We start from the raw sequence: 22,939 nt of genomic DNA, 5'->3' as shown, positions 1-22,939 counted from the left end.
AGTGCAGCGGTGCGATTTCTGCTCACTGCAACCTCCACCTCCCTAGTTGGAGCAATTCTGCCTCAGCCTCCAGAGTAGCTGGGATTACAGGCGCCTGCTACCATTCCTGGCTGATTTTTGTATTTTTAGCAGAGACAGGGTTTCACCATCTTGGCCAGGCTGGTCTCGAACTCGACCTCAGGTGATCCGCCTGCCTCGGCTTCCCAAAGTGCTGGGATTATAGGCGTGAGCCACTGCACCCAGCCTACTGTTGCTTTTGAAGGATACTTTTTTTTGCTGCATGTTTTGTTCAGTGTTTAGAAGGGTTTTTCCTTTAATTTTCTCCTTAGTACTTTAAATATGTTTTTTACTGTCTTCTGGCTTACATAGTTTCAGACAAGAAGCCTGCAGTCATTTTTACTTTATTCCCCCTTTAAGCAATGTGTATTTTCTTTTGCTGCTTTTAATATTTTCTCTTTATTAATCTTTTTCAGCAATTTGACTATAAAGTACCTTACTGGTACGTGTGTGTGTGTGTGTGTGTGTGTGTGTGTGTGTGTCTGTCTGTTTCAGATTTTGTTGTGCTTGGATCTGTGGGCTTATAATAATACAGCTTTTAAAATTTACAGCTAATTATTTCACTAAACAATTTTTTTGTCCCTATCCCTTTAACCCCAACCTCACACATATTAGTTAGGTAGGTTGCTATTATTCCACAGGGCACTGTAGCTGTGTTGTCATTTTTCATACTGTTCTTTATTTTGAATAGATTTTTTTTTGTTATGTCTTTAGGGATAATGATCTTCTTTTGTCATTTCTAATCACATGTTAACTTTTCAATGTGAAATTTGCATTTTTTTCTTTTTTTCTTTTCTTTTTTTTTTTGGAGACGGAGTCTCGCTCTGTCACCCAGGCTGGAGTGCAGTGGTGTAATCTCGGCTCACTGCAGTCTCCACCTCCTGGGTTCACACCATTCTCCTGCCTCAGCCTCCCAAATAGCTAGGACTACAGGCACCTGCCACCACGCGCCCGGCTAATTTTTTGTATTTTTAGTAGAGATGGGGTTTCACCATGTTAGCCAGGATGGTCTCGATCTCCTGACCTTGTGATCTGCCCGCCTCAGCCTCCCAAAGTGCTGGGATTAGAGGCGTGAGCCACCACACCCGGCCTGAAATTTACATTTGATGTTATCTTTTGATGTTACCTTTGAGTTCCATGTTATTTTTAATATCTTCTGTTTCTCTCATATTCATGTTTTCTTTACATTCTTGCGCATATGAGGCATACTTATAATAGCTGGATTATTGGATTATGCCCAGTAGTTAAGTTGGGAATCATTATTGTTCAGTTGAGACTTATTTATTTTTTTCATACAGAGTCACTCTCAGGATAAGTTGAGACTTATTTGTCAGCTCTTTTAGGGATGGTCTAGAATAGCATTTGTTCTGTGGCTCATTTAGCCCTGCTCCTAAAGGTGTGTCTCACTCTGGTCTCTGCTGAATGTGTTACATAGTCATTGAGGTCTTGCCACTCTGGCTAAAGACAATACAGTTGGCTAGAGACAATACAGTTGATTCGCAGCTTTCTGTGAGCTCTGGGAATTGTTCTTCTGTAATTGCTCTCTCCCTGGAAGTTGTTCTTGTTCAGTCTTCTGGGATTTCACATCACACATGTGCAGATTGGTATTCAGTTGAAACTCAAGGGTATCCCTCTGCAGATTTCTGGAGCTCTTTCTCTGAATACCTCTCTTCTCTTGGGTAGTCTGTCCCACAAATTCTAGTCTTCTTGAGCCACCTGAACCTATGATTTCTGTCTTCTCATTTCAGCTCTCATTTTGGGTTCCTATCTCTGTGTGGTAGTTTCTAAATTAATGCCAAGCAGAAAGCCTGTGCCATGGTAGGGGTCACCCTGTTTCTTTCCCTTTGTTCCCTTCGCCATACCTGTTGCCCAGTGTCTTATAATAAGGTTGTTTCTTATATTTGTCTGGTTTCCTAGTTGTTTGGGCTGGAGGGTAATTTTGACCTGTCTTACTCCCATGTGGCTTTATGTAGAAGTCTCCTATGTTACTTTAGGAACTCAAGTTGGTTTCAGATTCTGAGATTAATATGGAACATAAAGTTTTGGTAGAAAATTTTCTCAAATAAAGTTAGTTGTATTCTTTTACTTCACATTTCTTGGTAATAAAGTGAAGTGAAGAACACTGAAATGAAAGGGTTAAGAGACAGGAAAAAGAGGGGAACGAAGAAAACCCAAAGAAGGGTTAAAATAAATAATCTTCATGTTGTCATTTGTAATTAGACTTCAAACTTTCCTTAAAAACTGAAACTGGAAATATCTGACTCAATATGGAAATATAAAACATGTATCTATTTTGCTGTTTAAATATGAAAGTTGGCAACTGATAGGGTTTTGAAGAGTATGACCATTATCTTTGCATTCAGAATATAGTGTTTGATTAGTCAGAAAAGTCACATGGCAGAAGCCAATGAGCAGCAATAAGGACACCGATGAAATAAAAGAATTCGAAAATGACATGATGTCAATAAGTTGGTCCATTGCCCAGAAGGAAAGGAATTCTGATGAATTGATCAACGTAAAAAGCATGTCTTCCTAGTGCCAAAACCAAGAATAGAAATCAGAAGAAAAATTTGAAAAGCAAAAATTAAAATCAAAATTATTTTTTAAGGAGTAAGTAGGGCAATGCAGATAACTGATATGTTGATAGAGATTATAAACTAGACAGAACGAGCTTGAAATAAAGCCAGTTGTGCCAAAACAAACAACAGCATAGACAGTGATGGTCAAGATAGTGGAGAAAAAACTCAAAGTAGAGCAAAACATGGGTCTGAGAGATTAAGTTAAAAAGTCAGCTAAACCATACGGTTTCCAATTTCTTTAAAAGTGGATGTTTATGATTATGAAAAATCACAAAAGAAAGATGAAAAGTAAACTCTACCTCCATAATGGCATGTGAATTATTTTGTCATTCTCTATTTTCTTTGAAGCAGCCATGTTGGGATTGTTTCGAGGATTTCTAGTCTCCCAGTCCCCAGTTCTTGTATTGGTCTACAGGTTTCTAAACAAAAAGTGATCCTATTAAAAAAAAATTCTTAGACCTCATGCCTTCTTACCCCCTACCGCTGACTCTGCCCCAGCCACCGTATATCCTTCTTGTCCCTCTAACCCCCCTCACTTGCTCTCATCTCAAGAATTTTGCATTTGCTGTTACTTCTACTGCAATGCTTTTCTCCCAGATATCTGTATGGTTTGCTTCATCTTCAGTTCTGTGCTAAAGTGGCTCCTTACAAAATTTTATTTTAAAACATTTATTTTATAAATCTGTTATTTAAAATAGCTAGTCCCTTTTTCTTTGCTTTCTTTTGTTGGATGTTGTATGTGTAATACTTGTTTACTGTTGTCTCTTCTCACTAGAATGTAGTTTTGTGACAGGAGGGATTTTGTTTTATTTATTTCTGTATCCACTGTGTTTGAACAGAGTCAGACACAAAGGAAGATTGATAGAGTAATCTAGTAATGCTTGCTCAATGTGTTGTCCAAATACTTGTTTAAAATGCTTCAAACTATAATGTTTCATCTATCAGTTTCCGACAGTGGGATGTTAATATCTCTCTAATGATTAGTTACCAATTTCTCTTTGTTCTGTAAATGTTTGCTTTATGTAATCTGAAGTTCTCTTATGTTATCCAAGTAAATTAATTTTTTTATCATTATGACAGTTTAAGCCATTTATGTTTACTGTGAAAATTCATATTTATATTTATCTTTTTATGTTATTTTCTATGTACCATTTGTTTTCATTCCTTTTCTGCCTGCTGTTGGATTGATCAAATTTTCTTATCCCTTCTTTCCACTTTATTTTAATGTTTTCTATCAAATTTAAAAACAACTACTTAATAAATTCTTTTTTTTTGAGACGGAGTTTCTCTCTTGTTGCCCAGGCTGGAGTGCAATGGTGTGATCTCAGCTCACCGCAACCTCTGCCTCCCGGGTTCACGCCATTCTCCTGCCTCAGCCTCCCGAGTAGCTGGGACTACAGGCGCCCACTACCACGCCCGGCTAATTTTTTTGTATATTTTTAGTAGAGACGGGGTTTCACCGTGTTAGCCAGGATGGTCTCGATCTCCTGACCTCGTGATCCACCCACCTCAGCCTCCCAAAGTGCTGGGATTACAGGCGTGAGCCACCGTGCCCAGCCTAAAAACAACTACTTAATAAATTCTAAAGATGTTCTTTCTTTTTGTCCATGAACAATAAGATCCACCTTAGAGTGTTTTCTCCCTAATTCACCCTTTTTCATCTTTCAGGTTTTGTAGTCTTTTTATTTAGTTCTGCCTTCTTTCCCCTTTCCCCCTGTGAAGTTTGAAGTGATGCTATTTTGACTGCTTGACTTGTTATGTAACATTAACAAATTTCTAATGTTGAATCATCCTGGCATTCTGATTATATTCAATAGGATTGTTCTCAGTTTTTATTTTCATTCATAGTTTTTGACAATGTTTGTTGGAATTCTGAGTCAGGTACTTCCTTTTTTTTATTTTTGGTTAAGACCGACTTTTTGATAGTTTTTAGTAGTTTAATTATAAAACCATTTAGGCTTTGATTACTTCAATTTTTTTTTCTTTTTGAGATAGAATTTCGCCCTTGTTGCCCAGGCTGGAGTGCAGTGGTGCAATCTCGGCTCACCGCAACTTCTGCCTCCCAGGTTCAAGCAATTCTCCTGCCTTAGCCTCTCGAGTAGCTGGGATTACAGGCATGTGCCACCATGCCCAGCTAATTTTTCTTTTTGTTTTTGTATTTTTTTTAGTAGTGACGGGGTTTCTCCATGTTGGTCAGGCTGGTCTCGAACTCCCTACCTCAGGTGATCTGCCTGCCTCGGCCTCTCAGAGTGCTGGGATTACAGGTGTGAGCCACTACGCCCGGCTGGTCACCTTAATTTTTAATATATTATTATGTTATAGCTCCTTCATGGTTTAGGTTGGTTAACTTTTTTTTTTTGAGACAGAGTTTCACTCTTGTTGCCCAGGCTGGAGTGCAATGGTGTGATCTCGGCTCACTGCACCTCCTGCCCACTGGGTTCAAGCGATTCTCCTGCCTCAGCCTCCTGAGTAGCTGGGATTACAGATGTGCATCAACACGTCCAGCTAATTTTTGTATTTTTAGTAGAGACGAGGTTTCGCCACGTAGGCCAGGCTGGTCTTGAACTCCTGACCTCAGGTGATCCACCCACCTCGGCCTCCCAAAGTACTAGGATTACAGGCGTGAGTTACTGTGCCTGGCCTAGGTTGGTTAACTTTTTTATGAGAACAAGACTTAAATGGATTTCTTATTGTTTAAAACATAGTTCTTTGTTTTATTCTTTTTTCATATTATTCTTTTATTTCATATTGTCCCCCCCCCCCCACCCCCCTTTTTTTTGTTTGTGTGTTTGAGACAGTCTCACTCTGTCGCCCAGGCTGGAGTGCAGTGGCATGATATCAGCTCACTGCAACCTCCATCTGTCAGGTTCAAGCGATTCTTGTGCCTCAGCCTCCCAAGTAGCTGGGATTACAGGCACACGCCACAACACCTGGCTAATTTTTGTATTTTTAGTAGAGACGGAGTTTCACCATGTTGGCCAGGCTGTTCGTGACCTCCTGACCTCAGGTGATATATCTGCCTCAGCCTCCCAAAGTGCTGGGATTACAGATGTGAGCCACCACAGCCAGCTGTTTTTCACTTTTTAAATGTTTTATGTTTTTCAATTAAATACTGAGTTGATTTGTATTTTTTCTTTCTATTTCCTCCCTCCCTCCCTTCTTTGTTTTTTTTCTTTAGCTGGAATTACTGGCACGCCACCATGTTTGCCTAATTTTTGAATTTTTTTTTTGGTAGAGATGGGGTTTCGCCATGATGGCCAGGCTGGTCTTGAACTCTTGCACTCAAATGATCCATCTAACTCGACCCTCCAAAGTGCTGGGGTTACAGGTGTGAGCCACCTTACCCAGCCTTTTTCTTTTAAAGAGTTTAAAATACTGCGAAATAATTTAAAACACTGACATTATCTGAGTACTGCTTTGTCAGTTTCCAAGTTTTTATGTGTAATATCTTGTTGCTCTTATGTGTTATTAATTTTTCTTTTACTCATTTCTATACCGTATTTAGTACAATTCAAAGAATTTAAAGGCATTAGTTTTTTTTTTTTTTTTCAATTGCTTTCTGTCAGGAATTTCACCTTGCTGTGACTCTTACCTTTATTTTACTTTCCTGAAGTGTTTATAAATTAAATTTTATTATGCTTGTAAGGTGGACATGATTATAATCGTGCTTAATTTTTAAAATTTTGTTTTTTAGTCATCTGCATCACAGTCACCAAAAGCACCTTTTACAAAGCTTTTAAAAATACATATATCTGGTCATTTCACATCAACTTTATTAAATATAGAAGTTAAACCTGGTATGTGAACTTTGTGAAGAACCCATTATGTAGTTAAAAGCCACTACTGTAGACAGAGGGAGACTTCAGAAGGTTACCTAAAAAAGGGGCAAAACCAGAGTGAGGAATACTTAAGTGAATTATGAGGACACAATTATATTCATGTGGGTCTGTCCTCACATTTAGAGTATAAGGAAGTGCTGGATTTAAGGGAGAAAATGACTGTAAACTCTGATATTTTCTACTTGATATGGTAAAATGCTGGAAAAATGCCCTAATTACTTATTTTGTATACCTTCAAATTGTGCCTTATGTTGAATATAAGTCTAAGCCTTAAAATTTAACATTTAACTCTATGTACTTATTATTTTTTTTTTTTTCTGTAGACCTCGAAGTAGGGGGAAAACTGCAGTGGAAGATGAGGACAGCATGGATGGGCTGGAGACAACAGAAACAGAAACGATTGTGGAAACAGGTATCAGAACTCAAGAATTTATAAGAATGTATAATGATGCTTTGCATATGTTTGTACACTGCATGTAGCATTTGTATAACAATATTCTGTGTTAAGCATTTGTTTTTATACTGAACTCTAAGTTTCCCATCTGCCTTGTTTTGATAACTAATGACAAAGTGAAAAAACTGAGCCCTCTATCTCTCTTTTTTCCCTAAGCCCTGGTTTAGTATAATTATTTTATATCTGAAGATAAATGTTTTATCAAGGAAATAAAGACTGGGAGAAACAGTAATCCAGGCTGTTAGTATAATCGCTCATAGTATATTCTGGCCTATGAACCATCTAGTGTTTGTTTAAAGCTTATTTTGTTAATATGTGTTCTGAAAAAAGTAGTATGTTTCGTTATGGAATTAATATTGTGAAAGGCTAGGCCAAACTAGACCAAATAGTTTCTGGTCTGTTGGACTTTTAGGTGCCCTTAAATAAGCTGCTGTATGTTGTGCATCTGCAAAAGGTAGCTAGAGTTGGTTGCCCAAAGCAGTTTCCAAAATTTTCAGGTCAGTGGTAAGTTATCAAAGGGACTAGGATTCATATTGTATTGAGAGGATACCTGTAGGAGATAGTCTCTCATTGGTAAAGTTTTCAATAGTTGTTAGATAAAGTTTAGACACAGTGATAGGCTTTTTCTCTGAAGTTGAATATCATCTTGATGCTTACAGAATATCATGCAGTTAAGAGATGAGAAAAATTAAAAATTGTTATAGATTTTAAAATACATTTTTCCAGAAATCCTTACAGTTGTCAGATGTGTTGCTATTATATAGGTATAATTCTTGGAAAGCCTTCAAATAATCTATAGTTTCTTTCCAATAAGGTCTAGTTAGAGTATTACTCTTGGAAGCTCAGAATACTAAATTTCACCCTTTTGTGCACATTCATGAATTACTGTATTACTTTAAACTGTTAATTCTTTTTCATATGGTTTTTTTTTCTGTACTATATATTGTTACTTTTACTACTGAAAAGTCTTTTTGAAGCTTTAGTGTTTTTGTTTGTTTGTTTGTTTGTTTTTAAGACAAGAGTCTTGCTCTGTTGCCTGGGCTGGAGTGCAGTGGCGTGATCTCAGCTCACTGCAAGCTCTGCCTCCTGGATTCACAGGTTCATGCCATTCTCCTGCGTCAGCCTCCTTAATAGCTGAGACTACAGGCGCCCGCCACCACACCCAGCTAATTTTTTGTATCTTTAGTAGAGACGGGGTTTCACCGTGTTAGCCAGGATGGTCTCAATCTCCTGACCTCATAATCCGCTCACCTCAGCCTCCCAAAGTGCTGGGATTACAGGCGTGAGCCACTGTGCCTGGCCTATTGTTGTTATTTTTGAGACAGAGTCTTGCTCTCTCTCCCAGGCTGGACTACAGTGGTGTGATCTCGGCTCACTGCAACCTCCACCCGCCGGGCTCATGCAGTTCTCCCTGCCTCAGCCTCCCAAGTAGCTGGGATTATAGACATGCGCCACCATGCCTGGATAACTCGTATTTTTAGTAGAGACAGGGTTTTGCCATGTTGACGAGGCTGGTCTCGAACTCCTGACCTCAGGTGATCCACCCACCTCCCAAAGTGCTGGGATTACAGGTGTGAGCCACCGTGTCTGGCTCTAATTATTATTATTGCTATTATTATTATTATTATTATTATTATTATTATTATTCTTTTTGAGTTGGAGTCTCACTCTTGTCTCCCAGGCTGGAGTGCAGTGGTGCGATCTCAGCTCACTGCAATCTCTGTCTCCCGGGTTCCAGTGATTCTCCTGCCTCAGTCTCCCTCCTGGTCTGGGACTATAGGTGGATGCCACCACGCCTCGCTAATTTTTGTATTTTTTAGTAGAGATGGGGTTTCACCATATTGGCCAGGCTGGTCTTGAACTCCTGACCTCGTGATCCACCTGCCTTGCCCTCCCAAAGTGCTGAGATTACAGGCGTGAGTCACCGCGCCGTGCCTGATTATTATTTTTTTTAATTTTGTTTTTTTGAGACAGAGTTTCGTCCTTTGTTCCCCAGGCTGGAGTGCAGTGGCGTGATCTTGGCTCACTGCAACCTCCGCCTCCCAGGTTCAAGTGATTCTCCTGTCTCAGCCTTCTGAGTAGCTGGGATTACAGCCACCCGCCACCACGCCCGGCTAATTTTTGTATTTTTAGTAGACACAGGGTTCTCCCAGTGTTTGCCAGGCTGGCCTCGAACTCCTGATCTCACGTGATCCGCCCACCTTGGCCTCCCAAAATGCTAGGATTACAGGCGTGAGCCACTATGCCCGGCCCTTTGATTATTGAAGATGATTATTTCACCACCTTTTCTTTTCTCCTGAAACTTCCAACACCCCTTCTCATTTTTGATTCTTTAGTGATGATCTTGCTTATTTCAGTGAAAAAATAAAAAATAGAGAACAATTAGAAAAGAAGTTCCATATTCATCTACCATCAAATCTATTTTCTTGCTTGCATCCCTACCCGTATGTTGTTTCTGTCCTGGTAAAATGGGATAAAGACTGCGGATAAAGCCAGCTCCTCTGCTTGTGTCTTCCATTGTGTCCCCTCTCATGTATTACGGACTTTGGTTCTGCAGTTGTCCTTGCTTTTCTGCATCAATAACTTTTCCATCTCATTGATTTCATTAGCATAAGGGGGGTGCTGCAGAATCACCCCCTTTCAACACAAATAGCCTCTCTTGATCCAACATCCCCTTTTAGGTACTATACAGCTTCTTTGCTCCATCATAGCAAAAATCCTTGAGTTATTTATACCTATGATTACTACTTATTTTTCACCATTTTCTCATGAACCCACTCTAATGAAGCTTTCTTCCTCCCATTCTACTAAAATTATTCTTGTCAATGTAATGATCTCATATTGCCCAGACCAGCTTTTAGTCTTCATCCTCCTTAACCTTTCAGGATCATTTCACACAGCTAACCACTCTCAGGAGTGAAACTTTTTTTTAAAACTTGACTTTCAGGTCACTGCATTGTCTTGGTTTTTTTTTGTTTGTTTGTTTGTTTTTTTGTTTTTTCCTACTCCTTCACTGGTTTTTTCTCATTCTCTTCGCTCATCTTCTTATGTATTAGGTGGTCTTATTCAGTTTAATGGCTTATTATCTATTTTTGTGCTATTATTATGTTATCTAAATGCTAATGACTCTAAAATTACGTCACCAGCTCTTTCTTGCTTTGAACACAACCTGTATCTTTCAGCTTGTTTCTTAACATCTCTTCTTAGATGTCTGAAGAGGATCTCATATTTAGTGTGTCCTCTCTGGAAATTTTTGTTGTTATCCTGAAACCCTCTCTTCCAGTGTTACCACCTCTGGTATATTGCCACTGTATATTGTTCAGGCTTAAAAAGATGGAGTCTTTCTTGATTTCACATTTTCACATTTTACATTTTATACATTCACATTTTAGACATTCACATTTCACATTTTCACATTTTAGACATCCAGCCCACTGGAGGGCTTTACCTACCCAGTATATCCTGGATTCAATTACTTTGACCCCTCCACTGCTATTATTCCAGAACTTCACACTACCATTCCACTGGACTGCTGCAATAGCTTCCTAACTGGTCTTTTTCCTTTTCATTCCATTCTACTCTTGTCCCACACATAGTAGCCAGAGTGATCCTTCCAAATTCAAAGTGAGAGCCTTTTACTTCCCTCTGTCAACCATCCAAAGACTCCAGTGATATTTAGAATAAAATTCAAAGTTCATGCAGTACCATTGTTTTCAGGCTCCATTGATCTGACTTTGGCTACTTGTATAACCGTATCTTATGTTCCCTTGTTCACTGGGCTCCATCCTTACTGGCCTCCTGGCTTTTCCAGGAGCCCACCAAACATACTCCTTTCTCAGGCATTTGCACTTTTTGTCTTCTTTGCTTGGAAAAATTTTTTCTCAGATATTCATACAGCTTATTCCCTTACTTCAGTCAAGTCTCTACTCAGTTACAGTTTTCCCAGAGACCTTTCCTGACAAACTTGTCTAAAAAGTAACACTTGTCACTTTGTCTTCTCCTGCTTTATTTTTCTCCTAGTACGTAACAGATAGGACATTTAATTTCATATTGGCTTATTGTATGCTTTCCACACTAGAATGTAAGCTTTATGAAGTCAGGGGATTTGTCTTGTTACCTTATTTATCCCCAGTGCCAAGAATACTTCTAGGGATATAGGAGGAATTGGATTCACTAAGTGAAGCAGTATTGTGTTCTTGAATTTTCTTTATGTTTTCTAAGCTACCTACCATTCTTGGAACATTACAACATTACAACAAAACTAAATTCCTGGCATTTTTTTTTCCTTACTGGAGAGTAGTAAGCCCCACGAATGGACTGTCTTCTCATGCTGTCTCCTATGAGAGGTCAAGGCAAATACAGTTTAGATAAATGTTTTAATAGGAGCAGAAAACTATTTTTTTTAACCTGGCTTTACTAAAGTTAATAAAGCCAAGTGTATATTAGTCTTTGTTTTGTCTTTGTCCTTGGAAAGTCCATTGTCCACTTCTTTTAGGGAACATAGTGAACATAGGGCAAGGAGAACAGTGAAAGAAAGAATAACTGTTATAACCACTAAACCTGCAAATCCAGACAGAGTTTGTTCCATAAATTTCTAGTTCATTTAAAAGCACATTCAAGTTTGCTGCAAGGTTTTAACATATGTATGTCTCAAGACCCCAGGGTTTATTTGAAGGTTCTCTTGTTCCTGTAAATCCTGTGCCTTGACATGCTTACTTAATGTTTTGTAGTAATATAAGGGTATTACGCTGGGCGTGGTGGCTCACACCTATAACCCTAGACCTTTGGGAGGCCTAGGTGGGTGGATTGCTTGAGCTCAGGAGTTGGAGACCAGCCTGGGCAACATGGCAAAAACCCGTCTCTACAAAAAAATACAAAAATTAGTTGGGTGTGATGGTGTGCACCTGTAGTCCTAGCTACTCAGGAGGCTGAGGTGGGAGGATCGCTTGAGCCCGGGAGACACCAGTTGCAGTGACCTGTAATCAGTCGCACCACTGTTCACCAGTCTGGGTAACAGAGTGAGATCCTGTCTCAGAAAAAAGAAAAGAATGCTAATGAGTCTCCTACCATGGTGGGTGGATGGGAATGAGTAATCTAGGAGTAGCCATTGGGAAAGTAATAAGAAACCTCATTTGGTAATATTTTATGTTAAGAAAATTTCATCTTTATCTCAGCTCACTGCAACCTCTGCCTCCCGGGTTCAAGCAATTCTCTGCCTCAGCCTCCCGAGTAGCTGGGATTATAGGTGCCTGCCACCATGCCTGGCTAATTTTTTTGTATTTTTAGTGCAGACTGGGTTTCACCATCTTTGCCAGGCTGGTCTTGAACTCCTGACCTCGTGATCCACCTGCCTTGGCATCCCAAAGTGGTGGGATTACGGGCATGAGCCACCACACCCAGCTGAGAAAATTTGATCTTTTGTTGGTGGTGGCTGTTACCAGTCTCTGCGCATTTTTTTTATATGAATAAAATCAACTTGAGTGAAGTGCTAGTTACTTGAAGAGAAGAGAAACTTTTTTTTTCTTGAGAATCACATAATCAGGTCTTTGCAAACTTGTTTTCATTAACTATAATTAGCTAATTATAATTCAGTTAGTTATAATTAAACATTTTTCTCCTAGTGTTCAAGTTGTCATAGTTTGGCTCATGGGAGCCCCTTGTCAGCTGGCTTCTGAGTCCTTTTAAATAACATCTCAAAACCTTTCAGAGCTCTGTGCTCTTTGGCAAAAGTTTTATTTTTCAGGCCCATTTAAAATTCTCCCTGCCACAAGGTATGAAATCAGCTATTCTCTAAGGACTTCTAGTTTTTTAGTGGAGAATAGTATTAGGGACAAAAATTTAGGCTCAAGGGATATCGGGGGAAATTCAGCCAGATATTGGGCAAAATTCACCCCCGATAATTCACGTAGGTTCTTTTCTATTTTCCCTAAGCTTCGGCTGGTTTGAGAAATAGAGGGACAGAGTACAAAGGAGAGAAATTTTAAAGCTGGGCATCCGGGGGAGACATCACATGTTGGTAGGTTCCGTGATGCCCCACAGGCCGCAAAACCAGCAAGTTTTTATTAGTGATTTTCAAAGGGGAGGGAGTATATGAATAGGGTGTGGGTCACAGAGATCACGTGCTTCACAAGGTAATAGAATATCACAAGGCAAATGAAGGCAGGGCGAGATCACAGGACCACAGGACCAGGGCGAAATTAAAATTGGTAATGAAGTTTCGGGCACGCATTGTAATTGATAACATCTTATCAGGAGACAGTTTGAGAGCAGACAACTGGTCTGACCAAAAATTTATTAGGCGGGGATATCCTCTTCCTAATAAGCCTGGGAGCGCTACGGGAGACTGGGACTTATTTCATCCCTACAGCTCGACCATAAAAGACAGCCGCACCCAAGGGGGCCATTTTAGAGGCCCACCCTCAGGGATGCATTTGCTTTCTTAGGGATGTTCCTTGCTGAGAAAAAGAATTCAGCGATATTTCTTCCATTTGCTTTTGAAAGAAGAGAAATGTGGCTCTGTTCTGCCCGGCTCACCAGCGGTCAGAGTTCAAGGTTGTCTCTCTTGTTCCCTGAACATTGCTGTTATCCTGTTCTTTTTTCAAGGTGCTCAGATTTCATATAGTTCAAACACACATGCTCTGCAAACAATTTGTGCAGTTAATGCAATCATCACAGGGTCCTGAGGCGACATACATCCTCCTCAGCTTATGAAAATGACGGGATTAAGAGATTAAAGTAAAGACAGGCATAGGAAATCACAAGGGTATTGATTGGGGAAGTGATAAGTGCCCATGAAATCTTCACAATTTATGTTCAGAGATTACAGTAAAGACAGGCGTAAGAAATTATAAAAGTATTATTTTGGGGCTCTAATAAATGTCTGTGAAATCTTCACAATTTATTTCTTCCACCATGGCTTCAGCCGGTCCCTCAGTTTGGGGTCCCTGACTTCCCACAACAAAGGGATGCATATTACAATTGTTACTGTTGAGAATTAGTTATGTGAGTCCACTTTAGTCATATACTAGTACAGTCATGCACTGCATAATGACAGCAGATCACATATATGACAGTAGTCCCATAAAATTATAATGGAGCGGAGAAATTTCTGTCACCTCAATATGTCATAGCTGTCATGATGTCATAGCTGTCGTGATGTCATAGCACAGCGCAACATAGTGCATTACTCACATGTTTGTGGTGATGCTGGTGTAAACAAACCCAGTGTACTCCCAATTACATGTACTATACAAAAGTACACTACATACACTCTTGCACAGTACATAACTCTTGATAATAAGTGACTGTGTTACTGGTTTATATATTTACTATACTATACTTTTTATCATTATTTTGGAGTGTACCCCTTTTCTTAAGCAAAAAAGCTGTAAAACAGCCTCAGGCAGAACCTTCAGGAGCTATATCAGAAGAAGGCATTGTTATCATACGAAATGACAGCTCCTTGTGTGTTATTGTCGCTGAAGACCTTCCAGCAGGGCAAAATGTGGAGGTGGAAAGACAGTGATAGTGACGATCCCGACTTCGTGTAGGCCTGGGCTAAGTTTAAAACAAAAACAGAGAAACAAAAAAGAAAAACCCTAAAACCAAAAAACTTACAGAATAAGGGTAGAAAGGAAGATTTTTTTTGTATAGCTGTACAGTGTGTGTTTTAAGCTGTGTTATTACAAAAGTGTCAAAAAGTTTAAAAAAAGTTTATAAAGTAAAAATGTTACAGTAAGCTAAGGTTAATTTATTACTGAGCAAAGAAAAATAATATTTTAAAAATTTGGTGTAGCCTAAGTGTACAGTGTTTATAAAGCCTACTTTAGTGCATAGTAATGTTTGAGGCCTTTACATTCACTCAGTGATTCACCCAGAGCAACTTCTAGTCCCACAAGCACCATTCATGGTAAGTGCTCTATGTAGGTGTACCATTTTTTGTGTTTTTACACTGTATTCTTACCATTGTTTCTATGTTTACATATATTTAGATACACAAATACTTGACTGTTGTGTTATAGTTGCGTACAGTAACATGCTGTACAGGTTTGTAGCCTAGAGTACTAGGCTGTACCAAATAGCCTAGGTTTTTAGTAGGCTATACCATCTAGGTTTGTGTAACAGTGACAAAATTGCCTAATGATGAATATTTCAGAACATATCCCTGTTCTGAGAGGACTGTAATTACATAGATCTATACACACACTTACAAATGTGAGTTCACATCGATACATTCAGTTACTTCTAGCATAAGTTTTTAAAAATAGACTTTATTTTATTTATTTATTTTTTTTGAGACAGAGTTTCACTCTTCTTGCCCAAGCTGGAGTGCAATGGTGCAATCTCGGCTCACTGCAACTTCTGCCTCCTGGGTTCAAGCGATTCTCCTGCCTCAGCCTCCCGAGTAGCTGGGACTACAGGCATGTGCCACCACGCCCAGCTGATTTTGTATTTTTAGTAGAGACAGGGTTTTCCATGTTGGTCAGGCTGGTCTTGAACTCCTGACCTCAGGTGATCCGCCCACCTCAGCTTCCCAAAGTGTTGCGATTATAGGCATGAACCACTGCACCTGGCCAAAAATAGCCTTTATTTTTCAGAGCAATTTTAGGTTTGTAGCAAAATTGTGAGGAAGGTACTGAAATCTCCCATAAATCCCCTTCCCCGACACGTGCATAGCCTTTTTCAGTATCAACATCCTATACTAGAGTGGTACATTTGTCACAATTTTTTAAGCCTACATTGACACATTATCCACAGTTTATAGTTCACATAAGGGTTCACTCTTGGTTTACATTCTATGGGTTTGGACAAAGGTATAATGACAGGTATCTGTCATTATAGTATCATAGTCACTGCCCTAAAAATTAATAGGTGTTCCACCTATTAATCCCTCCCTCCTTGCTCCCTCCCTCCTTGCTAACCTATGGCAACCACTATTCTTTTTACTGTCTCCATAGTTTTGCCTTTTCCAGAGTGTCAAATAGTTTGAATCATATAGGATATGTAGTCTTTTCAGACTGGCTTCTTTCACTTAATAATATGCATTTATGTTTCCTCCACATCCTTTTCTGTTTTTTTCTTTTCTCTTTTCTTTTCTTTCTTTATGGAGTCTTGCTCTGTATTCCCAGGCTGGAGTGCAATGGTGTGATCTTGGCCCACTGCAGTCTCCGCCTCCCGGTTTCAAGTGATTCTCCCGTCTCAGCCTCCCGAGTAGCTGGTATTACAGGCATGCACCACCACACCTGGCTATTTTGTATTTTTAGTAGAGACGGGGTTTCTCCATGTTGATCAGGCTGGTCTCGAACTCCTGATCTCAGGTGATCCACCCGCCTCAGCCTCCCAAAATGCTGGGATTACAGGCGTGAGTCACCGCGCCCAGCCCTCCTCCGTGTCTTTTCATGTCTTGATAGTGCATTTCTTCTTAGTGCTGAATAATATTGTATTGTTTGGATGGACCAGAGTTTATCCATTTGCCTACTGATGGAATTTCTATTTGCACCCTGGTTTTGGCAGTTAAGAAAGCTTCTGTCAACATCTATGTGCAATTTTTGTTGTGGATGTAAGTTTTCAACTCATTTGGATAAATACCAAGCAGCATGATTTCTGGATTGTATGGCAAGAGTATGTTTAGTTTTGTAAGGAACCACCAAGCTGTCTTCCAAAGTGGCTGTGCCATTTTGCATTCTCACTAGAAATGAATAAAAGTTTCTGTTGCTCTGTGTACTTACTGACATTTGGTGGTGTTGGTGTTCCAGATTTTGACCATTCTAATAGGTGTGTAGTGATGCCCTGTTGTTTTAATTTTCATTTCCCTGATAACATATAATGTGGAACATCTGTTCATATGCTTATCTGCCCATCTGTTTATGTTTATTGGTGAGGTGTCTGTATTCCCTATGCTTTTTTTCTTTCTTTCTTTCTTTTTTTTTTTTTTTTTTTTTTTTTAAGACAGAGTTTTGCTTTTGTTGCCCAGGCTGGAGTACAATGGCACAATCTCGGCTCACTGCAGCCTCCACCTCCCGGGTTCAGGCGATTCTCTTACCTCAGCCTCCTCAGTAGCTGGGATTACAGGCACCTGCCACCATGCCTGGCTACTTTTTTTGTATTTTTAGAAGATACGGGGTTTCACCATGTTGGTCAGACTGATCTCGAACTCCTGACCTCAGGTGATCCACCTGCCTCGGCCTCCCAAAGTGCTAGGATTACAGATGTGAGCCACCATGCCTGGCCTTCCCTATGCTTTATCTCCTGAAAGAGAGTATAGAGAAATGGTATAATTTCTTCCTTAAATGTTTGGTAGAATTCAGCAATGAACCAAACTGGGTGTGTTCAATATTCGAAGTTTATTAATTTTTGATTCAATTTGTTTTAATAGGTATAGACGTATTCAGATTATTTCTTCTTGTGTAAGCTTGAGCATATTGTGTCTTTTAAGTAATTGGTCCATTTCATCTAGGTTATCAAATTTGTGGGCATACAGTTGTTAATAGTATTTCTTGAATATTTAAGATTCCATGGGATCTGTAGTGATGTCCCATTTTTCATTTTTGATATTACTGAGTGTAGATTTTCCCTCCTTTCTGAAACAGTTGGCCCTTTAATAGCTTGGGGTTGAACCATGTGCATGCACTGATAAATGGATTTTTTTCAGTAAATATATTGGAAATTTTTCGTGGAGATTCGTGACAATTTGAAAAAATGCGTAGATGGACTGTGTAGCCTAGAAATATTTAAAAAATTAAGAAAAAGGTATGCATGAATGCATAAAGTATATGTAGATACTTGTCTGTTTTATTGTTTACTACCATAAAATATACACAAATCTATTACTGAAAGTTAAAATTTATCAAAACTTAAGCACACACTTAAAGACTGTATGTGGTACCATTGGCAATTGAGAGAAATGTAAACAAATGTAAAGATGTAGTATTAAATAATAACTGAATAAAATTTACTGTAGTACATACTGTACAACTGTAATAATTATGTGGCCACCTCCTGTTGTTATTGCAGTGAACTCAAGTGTTGCAAATATCTGATTAAAACACCATGGGATACCAATCATCTTTGAGCAGTTCATCTCTCCAGTAAATTGGGTATCTTGGTAAAAAGTGATCTGGCGCTTCTCATGTATCTTTCACCATGTTCAGTGCAGTGCTATAAATTGTGCATAACACCACGGGACCCATATGAAGTGCCACTAATGATGCTTAAAGTGCTCCCTACAAGAAGCAAAGTCATGACATACAAGAAAAAGTTGAACTGCTTGATGTGTACCATAGATGGAAGTCTGTAGCTGAGGTTGCCCACTATTTCAGGTAGACAGTCTTGTAAACAGGTGACATAAACTTATGGTATCAGTAAATACAGTATGGTCTTGTAAATGTATTTTCTCTTCCTTATGATTTTCTTTTCTTTTCTTTCCTTTTCCTTTTCCTTGTCTCCCTGGCTGGAGTGCAGTGGCACGATCTTGGCTCACTGCAGCCTCTGCCTTCCGGGTTCAAGCGATTCTCCTGCCTCAGCCTCCTGAGCTGGGATTATAGGCACATGCCACCACGCCCAGCTAAGTTTTTGTATCTTTAGTAGAGACGGGGTTTCACCGTGTTAGCCAGGATGGTCTCTTATCTCCTGACCTCCTGATCCGCCCGCCTCGGCCTCCCAGAGTGCTGGGATTACAGGTGTGAGCCACTGTGCCTGGCCATGATTTTCTTAATAACATTTTCTTTTCTCTAGCTTACTTTATTGTAAGAATACGGTATATAATACAACACAGAAATATTTGTTAATCTACTGTTTATGTTATTGGTAAGGCTTCCTGTCAACAGTAGGCTATTAGTAGTTAAGTTTTCAAGGAGTCAAAAGTTACACAGATTTTTGACTGTGTGGTGGGGGGGTTGGAGCCCCTAACCCTCTCATTGTTCAAGGGTCAACTGTATATGTGTTAAATGCCATAACTTTTCCTCTAAGCACTGCTTTCACTGCATCTCACAAATTTTCTTTTTATTTTCATTTAGTTTAAAATATTTTTCAATTTCTCTTGAGATTTCTTCTTTGACCTATGTGTTATTTAGAAGTGTATTGTTTAATGTCTCAGTATTTTGGGATTTTAAGCTATCTTTCTGTTACCGAATTCTAGTTGAATTCTGACGTGATCTGAGAGCAGACATTGTATGATTTCTATTTTTAAAAATCTGTTAAGGTATGTTTTATGGCTCAGAATGTGGTCTACCTTGTAAGTGTCCCATGTGGATGAGAAGCATGTGTATTCTGCTATTGTTGATGAAGTAGTCTTTAGATGTCAGTTATTTCCAGTTGATTAACGGTGTCAGATTCAACTATGTCTTTGTTGATTTTCTGCACGCCAGATCTATTTCTGAGAGGGGTGTTAAACTTTCCAACGATAATAGTGGGTTCATCTCTTACTCCTTGAGATTGTATCATTTTTTTGCTTCACATATTTTGATGTTCTGTTTAGACACACTGATGTCTTGGGAATTAACCCCTTTATCATTATAAAATGCCTTTCTTTATTCCTGATAACTTTGACATCTGAGCTGTCTGAAATTAATATAGCTACTCCTGCTTTCTTTTGATTATTTTTAGCCTGGAATATCTTTCTCCATCCATTTATTTCTTATCCGTATGTATCTTTATATTATAGTTAAAGTGGGGTTTTTTTGTAGACAATATGTACTTGGGTTTTCTTTTTAAAAAATCTATTCTAGGCCATGTGCGGTGGCTCATACCTGGAATCACAGCACTTTAGGAGGCTGAGGCAGGTGGATCGCCTGAGGTCAGGAGTTTGAGTCCAGCCTGACCAACGTGGTGAAACCCCACCTCTATTAAAAATACAAAAATTAACCGAGCATGGTGGCGGGTACTGTCCCAGCTACTCAGGAGGCTGAGGCACAAAAATCACTTGAATCCAGGAGGTGGAGGTTGCAGTGAGCTGAGATCGTGCCATTGCACTCCAGCCTGGGCGACAGAGCAAGACTCTGTCTCAAAACAAACAAACAAACAAACACAACCTATTATAACAATTTCTGTCTTTTAATTGGTATATTTAGACCATTGTTACTCAAAGTGATTCTTCTTTATTTTTAGAGACAGAATCTCACTGTATCACCCAGGTTGGAGTGCAGTGGTGCCATCATATTTCACTGTAACCTTGAACTCTTGGGCTCAAGCCATCCTCGCACCTCAGCTTCGCAAGTAGCTGGGACTACCTGTGCTCAGCCTCCCAAGTAGCTGGGACTACTGGTGCACACCACCACTCCTGGCTAATTAAAAAAAAAATAGTTTTTTTGGAGGGACGGGTTCTCGCTGTGTTGCCCAGGCTGGTCTTGAAATGCTGGCCTCAGCCTCCTAAAGTGGTGGGATTACTGGGATGAGCCACCATGCCCAGCTTTAGAGTGATTGTTGATATAATGGAATGGATATCTACCATATCTGTTAACTGTTTTCTATTTATTGTCCTTGTTCTTTGTTCATATTTTTGTCTTCCACTCTTTTTGTGCTTTTTGTGGTTTCATTTTATTTTATTGTATTATAATTTTTTGAGACAGAGTCTCACTCTGTTGCCCAGGCTGGAGTGCAGTGGCATCATCTTGGCTCATTGCAAGCTCCGCCTCCTGGGTTCACGCCATTCTCCTGCCTCAGCCTCCCGAGTAGCTGGGACTACAGGCGCATGCTTTCCTGCCCAGCTAATTTTTAATATTTTTAGTAGAGACGGTGTTTCACTGTGTTAGCCAGGATGGTCTCGATCTCCTGACCTTGTGATCTGCCCGCCTCGGCCTCCCAAAGTGCTGGGATTACAGGCGTGAGCCACCATGCCCAGCCTGCCTTTTGTGGTTTTAATTGAGCAATTTGTATGATTCTGTTTTCTCTTCTTTCTTAGCACAGTTCTCTCTTTTTTTTTTTGAGTTGTTGCCTTAGAGTTTGTAATATATGTTTACAACAAACCCAAGTCTACTTTCTAATAACACTGTGCAGTAGTGTCCCACTTTAACTGTGGTTTTGCTTTTCACAGTTTTGGTTACCTCCAGTTAACCGTGGTCTGAAAATACTAAATGGGAAATTCCAGAAATAAACAATTCATAAATTTTAAGTTGTACGCTGTTTTCAGTAGCATAATGAAATCTTGTGCTTTTCAGCCTGAGATGTGAATCATCTCTTGGTCCAGCACATCCATACTGTATATGCTACCTGCCTGTTAGTCACTTAGTAGCCATCTTAGTATGATTGAAAAAGCATACTGGATATATTGGGTTTGCTGTTATTTGGTTTCAGGCATCCGCTGGGGTCTTGGAATATATTCCCCATGGATAAGATGGCACCACTGTAATTTTCACTTGTAATGTGAGTACTTTATAAGAACAAAATAATCCTAATTCCTTCCTCGCATCCCTTGTATTGTTGCTGTCAGTCATTTCAGTTATACATAAGCATATGTATTTATACATAAGCAATCATAATTGAATACATTGTTGCAGATATTATTTTGAACAAACTTATCTATTAGATCAGTTAATAAGAAAAAAGTTTTTTTTTAAAATTTTATCTTCACTTGCCCCTTCTGAGATGCTCTTCCTTTCTTGATATAGGTCTAAGTTTTTGACCTGTACCGTTCTTGTTCTCTCTGAAGGACTTTTAACATTTCTTGCAAGGTAGGTCATCTGACAACAAATTCTTAAATTTTTGTTTGCCTGAGAAAGCCTTCACTTTTGAAGGATAATTTTGCAGGGTACAGAATTCTAGGTTGATGTTTTCTTTCTCTCAACATGTTACATATTTCATTCCCTCTTTTCTTGCTTGCATGGTTTCTGAGTTGATGTAATTGTTACCTTAGGTATTTTTTTCCCTCTGACCTCTTTTAGGTTTTTTCAGTATTCTGTGGTTTTTAATATGATGTGACCAGGTGTAGTTTGTTTGGGCATTTATCCTTTTTGATGTTCTTTGTCATTTGGTTTCTGAGATTAATTTGAGGAATATTTCTTCTTCTTCCTCTCTTTTGTCTCTTTTTGGTATTTCCATTACATGTTACCTTTTTGTAGTTTTCTGTATTAAACATTCTGTTCTTTTTTTTTTTTTTTTTCCCAGTCTTTTTCTCTTTGCTTTTCAGGTTTGGAAGTTTCTTTTGAAATATCTTCAAGCAATGAGATTGTTTCCTCAGCTGTGTGAGGTCTACTAATAGACCCACTAAAAGCATTCATCATTTCTGTTAGTTTTAAAAAAATCTCTATCATTTTAATCTCTAGAATTTCGAGTTCTCTGCTTACATTGCCCACGTCTTCTTGCATGCTGTCTACTTTATCCATTAGAACCGTTAGCATATTAATCATAGTTGCTTTCAATTCCTCATCTGATCATTTCAAATTCCTTCCTGCATCCAAGTCTAGTTCTGATGTTGCTCTATACTGTGTTTTTTGCTTTTTAGTATACCTTGTAATTTTTTTTCTCGATAGCCAGGTGTAGTACACTGGGTAAAGACAACAGCTGTAAATAGGCCTGTAGTAATGTGGTGGGCCTTGTAGGAGGAGGGGGAAGTCTGAATTTTTTACTCTTCCTCCCCACCCTGCCCTTTCACTGCTTTTAGGTGGGGCAGAATGGCCTAGAATGGGCTAAAGTTAGATAGTTCTCTTAGGCTAGAACTGGCTGGAGTTTATTTCTCTTCTCGTAGGTTAGGCTCTAGTTAAATAGTTTCTCCTGAAGGCAGGCCTTGTTAAGAGAAATGGTTCCTTTTCCCCTCCTGCTGTTGAAAGCAAGAAGATATTTTTCTGTGAAGTTCACTGTGAGAAACTGGTAGAGCTCCTAGAGGTAAAACACAAAACCGTGGGGCCCCACGATGACTGGGTCCCTCTGTAGTTTGTATCTTCCAGACTCGTCCACACTGAACCTCCAACGTTTTGTCAATTATGGTTCAGGTTTTTGTACCCATGGAGCTTTTTACCCATGGGTTTCTGCTCAGGTAAGTTGTGATTCATGTCTATTCCTCCAGTTCTGAGGGTACC

The 22,939-nt window shown here is 39.3% G+C and overlaps 1 protein-coding gene across 1 annotated transcript in view; it reads left to right on the top strand.

The window, feature by feature from the left end:
- The window catches only part of KMT2C (lysine methyltransferase 2C), a 301,079-nt gene that overhangs the window by 70,530 nt on the left and 207,610 nt on the right, over positions 1-22,939 (top strand). The window contains exon 2 of the mRNA NM_170606.3: positions 6,799-6,887. Within this exon, the coding sequence (NP_733751.2) occupies positions 6,799-6,887 (89 nt within the window). The remainder of the gene's footprint in view (positions 1-6,798; positions 6,888-22,939) is intronic.

The sequence above is a fragment of the Homo sapiens genome, chromosome 7 (genome assembly GCF_000001405.40).
Source record: "Homo sapiens chromosome 7, GRCh38.p14 Primary Assembly".
Lineage (NCBI taxonomy): Eukaryota > Metazoa > Chordata > Mammalia > Primates > Hominidae > Homo > Homo sapiens.
The sequence above is the reverse complement of the archived record's forward strand: the minus strand, read 5'-3'. Positions and strand labels throughout refer to the sequence as shown.